General features: G+C 47.3%; 1 protein-coding gene across 1 annotated transcript in view, besides 4 other annotated features; it reads left to right on the forward strand.

Moving 5' to 3' along the window:
* Window positions 1-18,261, forward strand: part of COL4A2 (collagen type IV alpha 2 chain) — a 205,926-nt gene that overhangs the window by 38,619 nt on the left and 149,046 nt on the right. Inside the window, exon 4 of the mRNA NM_001846.4 lies at window positions 11,570-11,650. Coding sequence (NP_001837.2) covers window positions 11,570-11,650 — 81 coding nt within the window. The remainder of the gene's footprint in view (window positions 1-11,569; window positions 11,651-18,261) is intronic.
* Window positions 1,148-2,006: an enhancer, noted in NCBI's record as "H3K27ac-H3K4me1 hESC enhancer chr13:110999397-111000255 (GRCh37/hg19 assembly coordinates)". NCBI's record gives its function as "activates a minimal SCP1, AML or CMV promoter by ChIP-STARR-seq in naive H9 embryonic stem cells {active_cell/tissue: H9 hESC(naive)}" and the evidence as "EXISTENCE:reporter gene assay evidence [ECO:0000049][PMID:30033119]".
* Window positions 7,006-7,518: an enhancer, noted in NCBI's record as "H3K4me1 hESC enhancer chr13:111005255-111005767 (GRCh37/hg19 assembly coordinates)". NCBI's record gives its function as "activates a minimal SCP1, AML or CMV promoter by ChIP-STARR-seq in naive H9 embryonic stem cells {active_cell/tissue: H9 hESC(naive)}" and the evidence as "EXISTENCE:reporter gene assay evidence [ECO:0000049][PMID:30033119]".
* Window positions 14,457-14,957: an enhancer, noted in NCBI's record as "H3K4me1 hESC enhancer chr13:111012706-111013206 (GRCh37/hg19 assembly coordinates)". NCBI's record gives its function as "activates a minimal SCP1, AML or CMV promoter by ChIP-STARR-seq in primed H9 embryonic stem cells {active_cell/tissue: H9 hESC(primed)}" and the evidence as "EXISTENCE:reporter gene assay evidence [ECO:0000049][PMID:30033119]".
* Window positions 14,958-15,458: an enhancer, noted in NCBI's record as "H3K4me1 hESC enhancer chr13:111013207-111013707 (GRCh37/hg19 assembly coordinates)". NCBI's record gives its function as "activates a minimal SCP1, AML or CMV promoter by ChIP-STARR-seq in primed H9 embryonic stem cells {active_cell/tissue: H9 hESC(primed)}" and the evidence as "EXISTENCE:reporter gene assay evidence [ECO:0000049][PMID:30033119]".

Raw genomic sequence — 18,261 nt, forward strand, 5'->3', positions numbered from 1 at the left:
AAGGTAGCTGGGGTGCGTGTTAGTTCTCAGAATAGTGCCAGCTGTGTGTCCACTTCATGATGACATCAAGAAGATGGGCTTTGGGATCCTGCCCACACCCAGCTCCGGGGCGCTGCTGATGTATCTGGGCAACCCCAGCCAGGATCCTGGGCTGCCTCTATCACCCTCACAACCTGGGGGCCAGGAGCCAGCAATGAAGGCCAGTGAGAGGTGAATTTGGAAATGAGGAGCTTTCCTGGGGTACTGAAGGAACAGTATCAAAATACTTGAAAAGAAAGAGAACTCTTTCTTGTTTGAGGCTTTTGGGGCGTTGTTTCCTGCGTAACTCAAAGCCTTGGGAATCCCAGACAGAAAGTCATTTAAGATTAACTTTTGAAATCAAGTGAGTAAGACCTGATTCAAAGGAGAATTTAGCCATGGGTTAATAAATATATCTAAATTGCAATGAAAATCTTCAGCGGTCTTAGCCGTTGATCCCGTGGTCACCATAGACAATATAAGGAGCAGTGTCTATGGCAGGAGTGATGGAACAGATTTCAGGAAGTAACTTTGAGTGAGAGAAGCAGGGGCCCCAGAACTCTAGTGACCAAGACATTCGAAGACAGGCAAGGAAACCTTCAAATGCAGGCAACTCATATTTCGACGGGGCACCCTCCAGTGCTCCGAGATGGAAATTGCCTGCATTTCAGTGCCCTGTTCTGTGGCTCCAGTGCTCTGCTGTATGCCCACTGTGAAGGCTGCTTGTCACCTGTGCTGCCCAGCTCAACCCGGCCCCTTTGGTCGCTGTCCTGCCTGCCTGACGGCTGACGACGGCCCCACACCCATGTCTACACCCTGGGTGTTTGCTGTGTAGGTTCCAGGCTTCTAGACCAGATGACTCAAGATGAGGCACATGTGAGTCTCCACCCAGCACCTAATAAAACCACCCAACAAATGAGGGCTCAGCTCCTCCCGGGGTGAAGGCCAGGGTGCTCTGTTGACTAAGGGGAGGCCATGAAAGAACGGGGAAGACTGGCTCTGGACAGAGCCTCATCCCCTGCGCTTATCGTGGCTCACTGCCAAGTGCGAACACCTGGGTCCACGCCTCCGCATGCCGGGCCCGTGTGCACACCTGCCTTCCTCGCTGGTGAGAGGGCGCATCTCAGCCTGCTTTTCGCCTCTAGAAAGGCACTGAGTGTGAACTGTGAAGAAGTGGCCAGGGCAGAGGATGTGTGTCAGGAAATGCCAAGCCCCCTTTCCTCACTCAGCCAGATGGCCTACCTGTCCTCACCTGAAACCAGGCCCACCCATGCTCTGAGATCATCTCTAGCCCAGGACAAGGCATTTCCAAGGCAGCGTTGGCTTAGACTATGTTGGCTGGGCTTCACCTCTCATTCATGTGTCAGGAGCTCTAGGCCGGGGAGCCAGGCATTGGAGACCCTTTAGCTGGGAAGGCTCGGGGGGCTGAGTTACATCACCAAACCCTCACAGCAGCCCTGTGCAAGGGTGCCATCATCCTCCCTTTGTGCAGAAGATGCTGTGGCTTCAAAGGACCAGTCACTTCTCTGCCTGAACTCTTGCCCTTTGCTACATCATTCATGTTCCCAGTTGGCCCCTCACACCTGCTCTTCAGCATCCTGGGTTCTCAGCAGTTCCTACCTGGGGCCCTGCCTGCCATCCCTCCACTGTCATTCAGCCTGCTTTAAATGTCTCAGGATGACTAATGTCACTGGGATGTGTTCTGGCCCTGGCCTTTGGCCCACCACACACTGCATGCCCTGGCAGTCAAATTCCTGAATTTTTTCTGGAGCCAGTCCTGCCCGTCAGGACCCAAGCTCCAGCACTAAAGTACGGCTGTCAGAGGTGGCCCTGCCAATAGCACACTGTGTGTGGAAAACACCCAGACATTGAGCTGCCTGAGGAGAAATGGAAGGTGGCCCACTTGGCCGGTCATTGCTCGTTAAAATGTAAAGGTGTGCAGATATGAAAACACGGGGCTTGTTGCCGATGACTCAGGGGAGGGCACCGAACGTCATGCCTCCTGGTTATGTCTTGCCGCCGTGTTGAACCAGGATGGGGAATGATCCCATTCCTCAGGTATTCGTCTGGGAGACCGTAAAGGATTGCTTCCAGACAGGAAGGACGTCTGTCTTCCTAAAGAGTGTCTAGCCCAACTCGTTGAACTACTGTCATTTCTTTCTGGTTCTCCTGTTCCAAATACACAGCCTGAGCTCCTCCCTCCTTCTCTGAGTCTCTCAGTTCCATGAGGACAGGCATCGACGCAGTCATAACTGCTGGCACTCACTGGCATTCCAGAAAAGCCCATGGGGCTTATTCATTGTACGTGGGGGAGCGCCCCTGTCCTTCAGGCATTTCACCATCTTGAGCTGGTGACTAGTTCAAGACCATTCTGTAGAGTGAACACATTTATTTAGGATGCCCTTGAAGTACTGTTAAACAAAGGAAGCTGAATTGGCTGGCTTTGCTGCCCGGCATATAGAAGAAGGATTTGTGCTGGGTGGTACAACTGTGACCTGCACTTCCTCTTCCATATACCTTGCCCTGCTAATACCATGTTGGAATTATTTCCTTAATTTCTAAAGCTGCATGTGCGGAAATGGCTTATATTTCCTGTTTTGATAAACTAATAGAACTTTACTGAGAACCTTGTTCCCGAGTTGGCTTTCTTCTCTTTTGGCCTCTTTTTTGATTAAAATAGTAATTCTAAAAGTCCAGCTTGACTGGACTTGTGTCAAAGACAAAGAATTGTATAGATTTTTTTTTTTTGCCTTGAAAAGATAACTTTTTAGCTTTCAAAAGGATGATAACTTTTTAACAATAGGTAATGTTGATCTTGTTTGTCACTTGGCGTAGGTTTTTCAGTATTCCTCTGTGGAGGGAATTTGGGTTAGATGCTAGGCACAATCCAATCGTCAGCTATCTGTAAATTCCCTTCAGAGGATGGCTCTTGTTGGCTGGAGGTAAATTGGCTTAAAAAGACTTCCTTGGACAAGAAGTTTCTTGGAACATGTAGAGGACAAAATATTCTTTGTTTTGGGACAGATGAGTTTTGTTCTTGCGATTCATATAACTCGATTACTGCTCATTTTCTATGTGCAAGTTGAGAACAATGACCAGCATTTTTTTTCATTCGTCTACATGGCATCCACTTTAAATGATACTCATGTCTGAAGAGGGCTGGGTGCATTTCCATGGTTTGTTCCCTTGCTATATGTTGACAATTTGCAGTGGTAGTAGAGAAATAGTAGTCTCAAAGAGTTTAAATTGTTTATGTGTTTTGTTTCCTGGCATTCAGGTTGTCATTTAAACCTATTTTTTTAGTGTCCTAAATATAAGGACCAATCTGCCATGGAGAGAAGTGACATTGGGCAGTTTTCTCCACGTTTTGAGATGGGCGATTCCTCAGACATCTACCAAGGAGGACACCCTTTTCCCCGGTGGCAAAGGAGGGACTCTCCCTCTGCCTGGTGGCACAGGATCCTAGTGAAGGCAACACGATACTCTCTTCTCACTGTCATTGGGTCACTCACAGAAGAGCCAGGGCAGCAACCAGGAGGACCGGATGTCCTCTTAATCCTGCAGCTGCCACTCTTGATCTCTGCTCCAACTCCACTGTATCCCATTGATAAATGACAGAGTCTCTGCTGGCAGCCAGGCAGCTAGTGACTCCAAGCAAGAAATTCTGCATTTGATCCTGATAGGAGCCTGGTTCAAGAAACTAGAACCTGGTTTTCCTTAAAGGGTTCCATGACTTTTATTCTTCCAGAGGTAAAAGACTCACCAAGGAATCTAGATTGTGCATCTGGAGTGATTTGATGTCTATGGTAAATCTATCCATGCAAACAGATGGATTTTCATATCTTCTTTTTTTTTTTTATTGAGACACAGTCTCACTCCGTCACCCAGGCTGGAGTGCAGTAGCACAGTCGTGGCTCACTAAAACCTCCACTTCTCGGGTTGAAGTGATTCTTGTGTCTCAACCTCGTGAGTAGTTGGTATTACAAGCGTGAGCCACCATGTCCAGCTAATTTTTACATTCTTAGTAGAGACAGGGTTTCACCATGTTGGCCAGGCTGGTCTTGAACTCCTAACTTCAAGTGATCCACCGCCTAGGCCTCCCAAAGTGCTAGGCTTACAGGCGTGAGCCACCACACCCAGCCCAATTTCCACATCTTTCTAAATGTAATGATGCCAAGATTTAAATAAGACTCCAAGGAAAAGAATTTCCATATATGAAGTCAACCAAGAAATCCCTCACTCAAAGATTCCCGTTCTGCACCTGGAAAAAATGTCTGTTGCATTCCAATTGAGTAGAATGTAATCTAAGGTTTCTGGAAAACACATCTTATGCCTTTACATACACTGCCAACTGGCTCCTAAACATTTCCAATTCCTACAGTTTTGAATTGGCACAGCAATGCTGGCTACCAGTTTCAGAACAGGAAAAAGAAGAGCTCTAGAAGGATATTTTGAATTTTAAAAAAATTAAAAGAGAGAACTACAATTTTTTTTAGCACTTGGAGGGATTAGAGGCTCAGCCACTGAGTCCTTAGGGCTCAGAGCCGCCCCAGATGCAGCACAGGTCACAGAGGTCAAAGCAAGGTCCAAGGGCCATCACTTTTCTAGGACAGACATGCCAGGCACCCACTGAGTCATGGAACATGCTGAACCTGTAATAACTCCTACCTTCTGTTGCACCCAGGGTGATGGTTCAGTGGTTTCCAGCTTTCTCACTATCTCTAAACAAAGCCTGTTTTCACAATGCCCATCCGACCACCTAGTGTAGGGCTTTGCAAACCTCGGTGTGCTAACCTGGAAGTCATGCTAGAAAGCAGGTTCTGCTCCAAGAAAGGTGGGGTGGGGCCTGCATTCCTCACTAGCTCCAGGGTGATGCTGATGGGCCCTGTCCACACAGCACACTTGCCATGGCGGGGGCCAGCTGGGAGAGCAGCTGCCCTTCAGACAAGCACTCATGACCTCTTTGACTTTGTGTCTAAGTCCCTGCCTCTGATCAGTTTTCCTCTCTGTTTCCCTCTTATTCCCTCCCATTTTATTTGTGGTACAACTTCCAGGTAAATCTTCCTCAAACTCTCTGTCCAGTGTCTTCTTTGCTACCTGCTCTCTCTCTTGTTTCTTTCTTTCTTTATTTTTATTTTTTCTTTTTGAGATAGGGTCTTGCTCTGTTGCCCAGGCTGGAGTACAGTGGCGTAATCTCGGCTCACTGCAACCTCCACCTCCCGGGCTCAAGCCATCTTCCCACCCCAGCCCTCCAAGCAGCTGGGACCACAGGCGTGCACCACCACACCCAGCTATTCTTTTTGTTTGTTTGTTTGTTTGTTTGTTCGTTTGTTTTGTACAGACAGGGTTTTGCTTTGTTACCCAGGCTGGTCTTGAACCCCTGAGCTCAAGCGATCTGCCTGCCTGGGTCTCCCAAAGTGCTGGGATTACAGGCATGAGCCCCCGCACCCAGCCTTCTCTCCTGCTTCTTTGCTGCCTGTGGCTTTCTCTACCCTGCTCCTCCCTTGCCGGCGTGGGTTTTGTCCCTAAGAACTGGTGCAAGAATGACCGGTCCTTCATCTCTTCCTTGCAGCTCAGAGACTTTCAAGTCTACCTTGCTTCTTAGGTTTATGCTGCTTTGGACACTTATTTCCTAAAATGTATAATTCACATTTATTTTTCAGAACTATTCCTTTTGGTTCCACAACACTAAAGATGTCAAGAGCTTACAATAATCAGACTTAGCACCCCTTCCCTTTGTCCACAGTGCCTCTGCCAGCTTCTTTAATTCCTCTGCCTTTCTTGAAGGAGCAGATAAGTCCAATGGGGTCTGGCCTCCAGGTTGGTGTGTGATGAGATAGTTGGCAAGGTAGGACTGCCTGCAGGTCCTCAGTAAATGTTCATTCATTTGCTGAGGGAAGTAATGATTCATCCCCCTAGGCAAACTCCTTCCATGATTTGGAATTTAGGTCTGAAGTTTCCTGGCCAATGCGCCTGGGAAGCCACTGAGCTGGCTGTCAGCTGAGTAGGGACTAAGGATGTTCAACTGTGGGTACTGAAAAGCGGCACTAGATTGAAATGGAGTCCTGAGCTGCAAGTTGGGGAGCACAGCAGTGTTGGAGCATCCTGAAAGTCATAGGAAGAATGGGCTTCGAGTCACTCCAACTCAGGATGTTCCTGATTCCCTGATAATGATCATGATGATGATGATGATGACGATGATGATGGCATGAAGGTGGTGCCCTCCTAGGCCTGGAGGTTAGGGGTAGCCAGTCTGTCTCTGCTTTCTAGCAGTGAGAGCCTCAGGCTGTCAGGCAGGGAGGTTGGCCTTGGGAGGTAGGCATAGAAGGAATAGTGGAGCATAGCAGAGCCCTAGGGCGCAGGCCTGAACACAGCCAGTCCTCTCTGTGAACAGGATAATGCAATACTTAAGGACCCACTGTTCCTAATTTGCTCTCTAACCATCCTCTTCTTCGCAGCTCTTACCAGAATTTAAATTATGTGGGTTTAGTTGTTTGTTTACTTATTTCACCTTCTTGTCTACTTGGTCACCTGCCACAGGGCAGGAGCAATGTCTAATCTGCCCCCTACTCTATACCCAGAGCCCAGCACAGTGCATGGCTCAGAGGAAATTCACATCAGTGATCATGAGTGAATGAATTTGTAAAGTGAAAGCGTGGATGAAGGACCTCCCAGCCCCTTGCCCTTTGTCATGTTAGTTTGGAATTGGGGATGTGAGGTGTCCTCTCACTGGTGCAGTTGAAGGAAGGTGCCGGATACGGTTCAGATTCCTCGGTGGTCCCGAGTTCCCTGGGTGGGGAGGTTCTGTGTGCCTATGAGGAGGTGAGAGTCAGGCATTCTCCAGGGAGTAGGGTGCCCCCACCAGCTTTCACAGGCCTTCTGTAAAACTGGTCCCGCCAGGCCTTGAGTCCTTTCCTGCCTTGGGGTGAAGGACACCCAGACAACCACAGGAGTTTGGCCAGCCGGGCTGAACGGCTACAGCACGCCCCACGAGCCTGGATCACGTTCCACACCTGCAGTAGGAGCTGCAGGAACCTCCTGGCCCTGCGAGCTTCAGTGGGGTCAGCAGCCAGGCACACCTGCAGGGGGCGTCAGTGAGAGCTGGGCATTGGAATTGCCCTACACAGTTGCTGCCTTGGAAATTCAGACTTGAAATGAGAAATTAATGGAGGATTGAATTGATGTTTCTTTCATGAGCCTGTGATTGTTGTAAAAAGAGGTGTGTCAAATGCTTGGTGAGACCCATGCAGGATTCTTTAAAGAACACTGAGGCAAACCAGACCTTATAGGGAAAAACAGGCCTCACGGAGACTGAAGTTAAAATATGGACCAGGGCCAGTGTTTCTTCATGAAGGGGGTGAGCAGAGATTTGAGGAGGCTGCAGGGTGGGAGGAAACTCATCATTTTTATTAAGGAGTTGACAAGAATAGGATCGCGGCTTGTCTTTGATTTGCGTTAAGCAGTAAAATGAAGGGATAGGCTGGAGGGCTGAGAGCAGGGTGGCAGCAGGTGCGTGCAGTCGGTATGCCTCTGCTGGAGGGAGTGGCCAGGCCACAGACATGGGACACCACATAGCAGTCCTCACACTCCTCCTCTGAGGTCCTCAGGGAGGCATTTGTGTCTCGAGACTGTTTCAGAGACCCATGTCTTCTCAGGAGATGCCAAGGCTCAGGTCAGAGACTTGTTGAGTTTTTAAGAGACTGTCTGAAGCACACACCCTGCCCTAATAAGTCAATATTTCTGTTCCTCCTGGAGACCTCACATTCCAAAGTGTGGTACTTCGGGCTCTTGTAAATGTTGGAATTCCTAAGACTCTCTCTGGAGGACAGGTAAGATGTCAGTGGGAACACACATACACACATGCACGTGCGTGTGTGCACGCACGGCTGGCATGTCCATGGAAACTGCCTTGGCGTGGAATGAGCAGGGCTGCCTCTCAATGAGGTATTCCTTCCCTCACAATATAGCACTGGAGCCATCGGTACATGTAGAAAAGTGTTACTGGGAGGTATCTTAATCAGCCTACAAGTCCTAGTTCCAAAAGTAAGAATGCATCATTCATTTTTGAGTGGGTTATGAATAACTCACTACAACTAAATACAGTGAATATCGTAAACCTAGAATAAGGAGTCTGTTAGATCAATTTGAAACCATTCAAATCATTTCAACCTTTGATTTATATGGAGGGATTTGGCAAGTGGCTTTAAAATCAAAATTAAAAATAGCTTGGGAAACAGCAGATGGAGGATATGAGTTGATGCTTTACCCTATAGACCCAGGAGGCCCGCCTGCCCTTCCCAGACAACTGGCCAATGAATTATTGGGTCAACTGAGGACCTCTGCCAAGCGCCTGTTCATGCCTCCCTCACGTGTAGTAAAAGGCATGAATGCGCCAGCCCATCTAGTCTTGAGCTTTGGTGCTAAACTTTCTGGCTTAGTATGGAGTTGGATTTCTAGAAATCACATATTCAAATCATGGGATTTATGAGCCCCATTGCAGATAAACATTGGAGCCATTGAAAAATTGGCAAATACCTAGGATCGTGTTTTCAGGGCGTGAGAGGATTTTATATATGTTTACTTTTACACCATAAACTCCAGCTGCCTCATTACCTCACTCAAGACAAAAAGATCACTGGAAAGAAATGTAAAAGCTTTCAAGGTACTGTTTTCTCTGAAGGGTTTGGGACTTTCCACTTTTTGGAGTTTTTTTTTTTTATAGTAGTAACTGATGCATCAGATACTATATTAGGTAAAGAATTATAAGAAGAACATAAAAAACGTGAAACTCTCAGATGAGAGTTCTCTAGTAGAAAATTGTTAGCTGAAAGAAAAAAAAAATCACCCATACAAAAGGAACATGGAGTCATTGCTGGAACCCAAGGCCAACTCTTGCCAGGAGGTTTTGGGTCAGAAGCCTGCGTGTCCTGCCCTTCTGCCCTGGACTATCTGGAAGACCCTGCTGGGCGGCAGTGGCAGAGTGGGCCTGGCCATGCCACTTGCACCTCCACGTGGACATGCAGCTGGTGACAGGAAAGGGGAAGGTTCCAGCAGACCCGCTATCACAAAACAACTTACAGAGGGAGTCCCCAAGTGATAGTCCTGTTTAGTCATTGACACGTAACTCAGAAGAGAGTGAAAAGGCTGTGGTAAAATACAATTTGCTTAACATTGGAAAGGGTTCTGTCATCTGGTAAGTTTTACTTGCATGATAAGGTTTCAATCAGTGAACACCAGAAGCCAGCCTTGTCCAGGGTCCCTTAGGTGTAACTGTGTGATAATAGGGAGGCTCCAGGCAGGCTGGCAGAGGCTGGCTGAGGGTGAAAAGCTAGATTAAGATTCACCTGTGAGCCACTGCTCACCTGTTTGTGTGGGGAGGGCTGCAGTAGCTCAACTGTGTGTGGGAGAGGGCTGCACTAGCTCACCTGTGTGTGTGGGGGAGGGCTGCACTAGCTCACCTGTGTGGGGGGAGGGCTGCACTAGCTCACCTGTGTGTGTGGGGGAGGGCTGTACTAGCTCACCTGTGTGTGTGGGGGAGGGCTGCACTAGCTCACCTGTGTGTGTGGGGGAGGGCTGCACTAGCTCACCTGTGTGTGTGGGGGAGGGCTGCACTAGCTCACCTGTGTGTGTGGGGGAGGGCTGTACTAGCTCACCTGTGTGGGGGGAGGGCAGTACCAGCTCACCTGTGTGTGTGGGGGAGGGCTGCACTAGCTCACCTGTGTGTGTGGGGGAGGGCTGCAGTAGCTCACCTGTGTGTGGGGGTGGAGGGCTGTACAGCTCACCTGTGTGAGTGGGGAGGGCTGCACTAGCTCACCTGTGTGTGTGGGGGAGGGCTGCACTAGCTCACCTGTGTGTGGGGGTGGAGGGCTGTACAGCTCACCTGTGTGAGTGGGGAGGGCTGCACTAGCTCACCTGTGTGTGGGGGGGAGGGCTGTACTAGCTCACCTGTGTGGGGGCTGAGGGCTGCACTAGGTCACCTGTATAGGGCGGAGGGCAGCACTGGCTCACCTGTGGAATGAAGGTTGTACTAGCTTACCTGTCAGGGGAGAGGAGGCCTGCGCTGAGACTCGGCTGATCAGAAAGGGGAGAAAAGAGGGTCACTCTGATTGCCATCATCTCAAAACGTTTAATACTGTCACGATTTGAAAGGAAGAGCTAAGGTACTTGTCCAGTAGCCCAATCTCCAAGTCCATCTTTGATCTGAATGTTGAGATCAAGGATGAGAAACACCTTTTTGCCCCATCGGGATTGCCCATCCAGGGAACTCCCTCCATTTCCCACTGACTCACTTAAGGTTGTATCTCCTTCTCTGATGAAACACTCAATGGGGTCACCCACTTGCCTGAATAGGTCCTGAGGAAAGCCTCTTCCCGGCATTCCTCCTCCTTACTGAGCATAAGTGTGTCCCGTAGGGCGAAGGGGAAAGAAAGTGGACTTCCTCTGCCGACACCCCTCAAATGAAGTCGCAAGTGATATCGGTGGTGCAGATGAGGGTTTGGCATCCCGCCAGATGCACCTGCCAGTCCCTCCTCCTCACATGGCCCTCCCTTTGATCACCATGATGGGTGTCCCATGAGGGAGCCACCGTTTGCACCGACACCTCCTCCTCCCCTCCGTGGTGGCCCACTCCTGCCCACCTCTCTGGGTTCCCCGCCAGCATTTTCTCCAGGCACATGCTCCACATGTCCAGGCAGAAGGCAGGGCTGCTGCCCATGCCCCGGAGTTTCTCATGCATGCCACAGGCCTGCTCCTTCCTGATTCCTCACTTCACATGGAATCCAGATTCTCGGAATGTTCTCCTGACGCTGAAGGTCCAGGACTTTGCTTGGCATCGGGCAGTTTATAGGCACTTTTTTTTTTTTTTTTGAGACAGTCTTACTCTGTGGCCCAGGCTGGAGTGCAGTGGTGTGATCTCAGCTCACTGCAACCTCCACCTCCCGGTTCAAGCGATTTTCCTGCCTCAGCCTCCTAAGTAGCTGGGAATACCGGTGCCTGCCACCACGCCTGGCTAATTTTTGTATTTTTAGTAGAGACGGGGTTTCACCATGTTGGCCAGGATGGTCTTGATCTCCTGACCTTGTGATCCACCCGCCTCGGCCTCCCAAAGTGCTGGGATTCCAGGCGTGAGCGACCGCGCCCAGCCTAGTGAGAACTATTTAAAGACTCCTTGACCATAGAACATACAGCACCAAGGGTGAACCCTGGTCTCAACTGTGGACTCTGGTGATGGTGATGCGGGCAGACTCAGCGATTGTAACCAGCATACAGGTTGGTTCCAACCTGTACATCCTGGTGCAGGATGTCGATGGTGGGGGATTTCAGGGGTGGGAGAGACAGGGGTATATTGGAAATCTCTGGACCTTACACTCGATTTTGCTGTGCACCAAAAACTGCTCTAAAAATTAGTCTATTTTTTTAAAAAAGCCTTATTGAATGTTTTGAATGAATCGTTTCTAGAGTTGGAAGGATTCTCAACAGATGATATTTTAATACATGTTGTAGTTGGCAATGTTTAGGTAACTTTTCTTTGCCTTGTGTTTTATTGTTGCAGGGTGTGAAGAAGTTTGATGTGCCGTGTGGAGGAAGAGATTGCAGTGGGGGCTGCCAGTGCTACCCTGAGAAAGGTGGACGTGTAAGTCACAGCATTGCAATAAATAATATTATCTTCCTCATACAGTCATGCCTCGCTTAACAACGGGGTACCTTCTGGGACACGTGTGGCTGGGCAGTTTCATCATTGCTTGAACATACTGGAGAGTACTCACACAAACCTAGATGGCCGGGCCTACTACACACCCGGCTGTGTGATAAAGCCTGTTGCTACTAGGCTACAAACCTGTACGTAGGCAGTTGCGACACAGTACTATTTGTATATCTAAATACAGAAAAGGTACAGTAAAAAGAAAGTAAAAAGATGTAAAATGGGACTCCTGTGTAGGGCATTTACCATGAACGGAGCTTGCGGGACTTGGAAGTTGCTCTGTCTGCGTTGGGGAGTGCGGGGTGCGTGGATGTGAAGGCCTGGGGCGTGACCGCGCACCACTGTAGATCCATCAACACTGGGTCTTAGGCGGCCCTAAACTTACGTTTTCAATATTTTTCTTTCTTCAGTAATAAATTAACCTTAGTTTACTATAACTTTTTTACTTTATAAACTGTTAAACTTTTTAAACTTTTTGACTGTTTTTGCAATAACACTTAGCTTAAAACACACATTGTACAGCTGTACAAACATATTTTCTTTTTCTACGTTTTTATTCGATGTTTTTTTCTATTAAAAAAATTTTTTTTTACTTTTTAAACTTTTTTGTTAAAAACAAAGAAACAAACAGACATGGGAGCCTGGGCCTACACGGGCTCAGGATAATCAATATCACTGTCTTTCACCTCCACATCTTGTCCCACCAGAAGGTCTTCGGGGCAATAACACGCATGGAGCCGTCATCCCCTCTGGGAACAATGCCTGCTTCTGGATTCTTCCTGAAGCACCTGCCTGAGGCTATTTTACAGTTAACATATGTACACATATAAATAGGAGTACACTCCAAAATAACAATAAAAAGTAGAGTATAGTAAATGCAGAAAACAGTGACGCAGTTGCTTGTCACCAAGTGTCATACACTGCATGTAACTGCATGTCCACACTTTGATGCAACCAGCAACACAGCAGGTTTGTCCCCACCAGCACCACCACAAACATGTGGGTTATGCGCTGGGCAGATCCGGTGTCATCTTAGGGCACCACTATCTTCAGTGCAGTCTGTTGTTGACCAAAAAGTCATGATGCGGTGCCTGATTGTACTTCCATTTGAAATGAGAGTGTCTTAAATTTTCTGAGTAAGTCATTGCATACTTTGCTAAGAAATTTAATCAATTGTATTCTGTTCCACTAGAACAAACAATAATATAATGCAAAATTGGGTCAATGTATACCACTTTCCTACAAAATTGAGAGCAATTTTAATTTTCATAAGCATCTTTTCTTTCATTCATTGTTCATTATAAGTACGTACGTGTGTTTGCATGTGTGTATATATGTGCATATATAAAGCAATGATGTTTTATAGTTATAATAAGCAGAAATGTCATAAAAATATTCTGTAAAGAAAAAAGTAGTTGCATTTATACTGCAATATAGTTATACAAACTAGGGAGCACTGGCAGTTGTATCATTGCTAACAATTCTCACTTTGAAAATATTTACTCCCTGAATGTCTTTGATGTGGTCCGTCTGATAGATAAGTAAGAGGAAAAAAGGGTACCCCAAATCATCACCATTACATCTGGCAGAATTTGAAATATTGCCCTGATATTGGATTTAATATGTTCAATCAAAGTGATTGATCTCTGATTCTGTTGCCTTTAAAACTGATATCTTTAAAACTGAGTCTTGGTGTTACTTGGTTTAAAAGTATTATTTATATGTGCACCTTTAAGTCCATCTTGCATGTGTGAAGGTGTGGGGAGTAGTATTTTGTTTTATGACACAGCCTCCTTGCCTTTATTCCCTGGACTCATGTATCTACCCTAGGACACATGCTTGTCTACACCTTCGTTTGGCAAATGCCAGGTTGTCAAGGCAACTGGAAACTCTTCCCTGAATTGCCCTGATGTTGTTGGAATCAGAAATTATAACAGCCCTTGGGTGTCCAAATGAGTTTCCCCAAGTTGAATCCTGAAGTCAGTTTCTACCGTAGCCATTTCCCATCCCTACCTGCCAGGAAGAACGACCCTCTGCTGGAGCTTGGCCTCCAGGGCTGAGGTGCGATGCCGCTGCCTCCTCTCCTGTGTCCCCTCCACAAAATCAAATGGGCACAGTTCGTGATAGGGAACCTCTTTATAAATACTGTCTTCCTATTTCCTGACCTGTGACTGATCATTATTTCACTGTCAAAAATCACAACTGAGGAGGCTTCCTGCCCCTTTGATCAAAGCTCCCATCTCTCCACCTGCTGCATTCATCATTAGTTGCACTTCTCAAAACAGTTATTTTTGTTTCGGTTAAGCATTCCTCTGCCTGCTGTGGGGACTTTATGGTTTAGAAATTGCTGGTTGAAGATCATTTATCAGCACTTAACAAGGCTAAATAATTTTTAAGTTTATGGAAGCCATTTCACAAGATGTAAAATTCCCCTGGGTCTCATGCTATGGATTTTCCCAACGACACTTCTGTGGCAGTGATGAGAATGCCTGACTGCAGACTCTCCACCCCGCAGCCCTTGACTGGCTCAGCCTTATATGGGCATGGATAGAATTGGTGGTATACACATATCTGTGAGACTAGCTGTGTGGGACGGAGTTCGTGTCTAGAGCGACTCTGCATTCTTCTCCATGTCATCAGATAAACAGAACCCAAACAAACTGAGTAGAGGTGACCGGATCTGTTCTTTTCACTTTCTATGATTATTTAATGCAGAATCAACATAGTAACATTTTCCATAATGCCTTTAGGAGAATTTGATTCTTCAGTAAACATAGCTAGTTCAGATTATTTCAGTATATAATGGCATCTGCATAGCAGTGTACTGTTACACGATGCCAGAGGTCTTTTCAGTGAGGTTATTAGGAGGGGATTTCTAAGGATCCCCAAGACTCTGTGATTTCACGAATTCACAGCACAGGCATTGAGACCTTTTTATTTCCCAGCGTCCCTAGTGAAGGAAACACCTTGAGTCTCTTTCTATACTTTGCCAAGTAAAATGAAAAATCGACACCTTCTGGTTAATCTGATTAACTTGAGTAATCCAAAACTCCGTGTGGGCTTGGCTGTCCTCTAGTTATCCAGACGGGTTATCAACACTGATCCAATTAAGCTGTGATTGGCAGCTGTCTGAAGGGTTGTACAAAAGACAGAGGCAAACGATACCCGCCCCCCACCCCGGGGCCTGGACTGTGGGATCCACTGTGCACGCGCAGCACTCATGTGGCCTGAAATCTGGCTGTACCTGTACCTCTGGGTGCTGCGTGATGCTTGACACTGTCATTTCACCTGGGCCGAGGCCCGTGCTGCCAAGGGACCACACAGCCAGTCACTGGAGTGTGTTAACAATCAGCACACAGGGCTGCTCTGTTAATTCAGGTGAGACCCTGAACATTCACTGATAAAGTGATAGAAATAGCTGATGATAAAAGGTAAGAAAGAGATCAGTGATGCCATTTACCATTTTCTTATTCCTGGAGATATTCTTCTGTGTGTTACAGGAGACAATTACTCTCAGGACTGCTGCATCTACTGTATTAAAACATTTTTAAGATAGAGCATCTGTTTCAATACTACAAATCCGGTGCATGTGGCTTAACTATTTATTAATTAACAGATTTTCCCAAATGTGCTCTTGCAGAAGCATTGCTCTGTCTGCCCTACTTTTGGACTGATAGTATTTTTTTAAAGTAAGATAATACATAAAAATAGCAGCTGGACAGAGCTTGCTGTCGAAAGGGCTGTGTGCATAGTTTGTTCTTTCCCACAGCTTCCCCTGGGGTGGCTCCCGTCTCTCTTCCCTGTGGTGCTACTGTAACAGCCCTGGAAATGCCTGGCTGCAGACTCGCCACACCCCAGCACTTGGCTAGCTCAGCCTTTTATGGGCATGGTACCCCAGTTCATCTGTGCGTCACCATGGTGACAGCCAACATCGGAAGTTGTACGTCACTGGATAACTTTTGGACACGAAGCAGAAATCACAAGCATACTATGGATTCCAGTTCCAAATGGATTCTCATGTGACCAGTGAATGAGCTTTGGGTCAATTTGCAGAGCTTTGTTCATCCTTGGGCGGTGAGTGGTAGACTCTCCCAGCAGGGAGAGAATTGCTTCACCCAGACAGAACCACCCAGTCCCATAGATAATTCCAGCAAGCCACAGAGTTGAGGCCTGAAGAGGCAAGGCAGGAGCTGTGTACCGGCTGCTTGGCACTGCCCACTTCCCCTCCCTGGGCAGAGCTGGGAGGAGCTGAGCCAGGAGCCAGCCCATGTCCTGTAGTTCACGTACGAGCACACTGACTTCAGGAGGGAAATGGCCTCTGCAAATCTCACACCCAGATTGTGGCAGAGTCCAAAACAAAACTCAAGTCTGGGGACTTAGACAAATTCTTTTTCCAGCATAATCATCTTCTGTGTCCGTACTCCTCTTCCCATATGTCAGCCTAGAAGAGTGAGGCTCTCCGGGATGCAGGGAAGAACATAGGCAGCGTGAGAAGAGAGTTTCCCCTCGTTATGCAAGAGTTATGGTTCCCTAGTTAACTCTCTAACCACTTCTTCAGTTGTTTTGTGGATTAAAAAATAACTTTAACAAATGATTCAGGGCTCTGTTGTTATTTGAGGGTCTGTATTTCAAATAATCTCTAGTAAGCATATTGGAATAATTATAAATGATAAGTTCGATTCATTGATACTGCATGTTCTCAGATTTACCCCTCCACTGAATACCAGGCAATCATCAGCACCAAACAAGGTGCCCGCCCCTAGCACCTTTCACTGCAGCCCTCCCAGGCTCAAGCAGTTCTCCTGCCTTAGGCCCTCAAGTAGCTGGAACTATAGGCATGCACCACCACACCTGGCTGATTTTTGTATTTTTTTTTTTTTGTGGAGATGGGATTTTGCCATATTGCCCAGTCTGGTCTTGAACTCCTAAGCTCAGGCAGTCTGCCCACCTCAGCCTCCCAAACTTCTGGGATTACAGGTGTGAGCCACCACACCCAGCCTTCTTTTTCTATTCTCTTTTCAGTTTTCTTTCTTTATACACCATGGAGATGGAAGGCAGTTGAATGGGAAGCATCAAAGTGAGTTTCAGTTACAGAATTTCTGTCAGAGTTATCAGCACCACGCAATGTAAAGGTTAATAATATAGAAAGCAGTAGAGGGGCAGATAGGAAATCGGAGTCAACAAATAAGACAGCTTTGCTTTGCTTGTTAACTCACCTAGCAGATGGTGAAAGTCTTGGATTTTTCCAAGTAAGGTCAATTTTAGTTCATTATTTCAGTAACTTAGCCAGGTTCCTGTTCTCCCCCAAACATCTGATTTTTGACCATAAACTCTGATCAGATAGGTTGTTTCAAATTTTTTAATGACATCAACCTTCACAGGGCACCTCCTATGTCCTAAGGCACTTGGGTATTCCAGAAACTGGTAAATATGAAGACTGGTTGGATAACTCCGTGTTGGGAATTAGTGAGATGGTCAAATGGCCCTGTCACACGACAACAGGGAAAAGAGAACCCACGTCATCAGCCCCTGAACGAGTGAGTGGAGGCCTCTGCATCACTCAGCATGCATCCAGGCGGTACCCACAGTGCCCCCTGTGGCCTGGCAGCTGCAGCTGAGAGCCTGGAGACTATGCTTCTGGAAGGTTGCGATTGACAAGCTCGCTCAAGTAAGCAGTGGCTGAGTGCTTAGGGCAACAAGTTGTGTTTAGCGACTGCATTTTTTCATGTAGCTAAGAGTTTCCCACAGTCTATGGGTCCCTGGACTTGGGTCAAATAGTCCTTAGCCTCACCAGATTTCTTAAATTCAACACTATAAATCAAAGTAAAAGAAACCAGAGAGAAACTGAGCAAAAATAGCTGCCAAGAGAAGAGGGAACGAGTGCTCGGGGCGGGTTGGAGGCAGATAACGAGAAGGCAAGAAAATTCTTTGTCTTTGGCTCCTGCTGTCAGCTCAGAGGGGTCATCTTGAGATGAAAAAGAAAAGTCCCCAGCCTTGGGGAAGGAAAGGAGAGGGTGCCCCACGCAGATATGAAGCAAAGCCATTGGCAAGATATTCTCTCTAAGGAGAGCAGCGGTCTTGCCAAAGGCATCTTCTATTGTGTATTGCCGTCATAAACCCTACCCTTCCATGTAGATAGCCAGGATTTTAAAATAAAACTAAATCTTCCCCAAGGAGAGAATTGCGATGCCCTGGCAGCATGGGCACTTTTGTGTGGGTGTTTCCGTGGCTAGAGGGGTTCTGAAATTTTTGTATTTGTAGTAGAGATGGGGTTTCACCATGTTGGCCAGGCTGGTCTCGAACTTCTGACCTCAGGTGAGCCGCCCGCCTCGGCCTCCCAAAGTGCTGAGATTATAGGCGTGAGCCACTGCACCCGGCCTCTGTCTTAGTTCTTTGAAGATGTGGGCATGTGTGGAATAAAAACATCAGTGCTGCTGGTCGGACCTCTTTGCAAACCAACTGCAATTTTTCCAGACAGATACTTTTAAACGGTGTGCCCAGCATACTTAGAAAAAGAAATCTCCAGCTTTTTACATGCTGCA

The sequence above is a fragment of the Homo sapiens genome, chromosome 13 (genome assembly GCF_000001405.40).
Source record: "Homo sapiens chromosome 13, GRCh38.p14 Primary Assembly".
NCBI classification, from domain to species: Eukaryota; Metazoa; Chordata; class Mammalia; order Primates; family Hominidae; genus Homo; species Homo sapiens.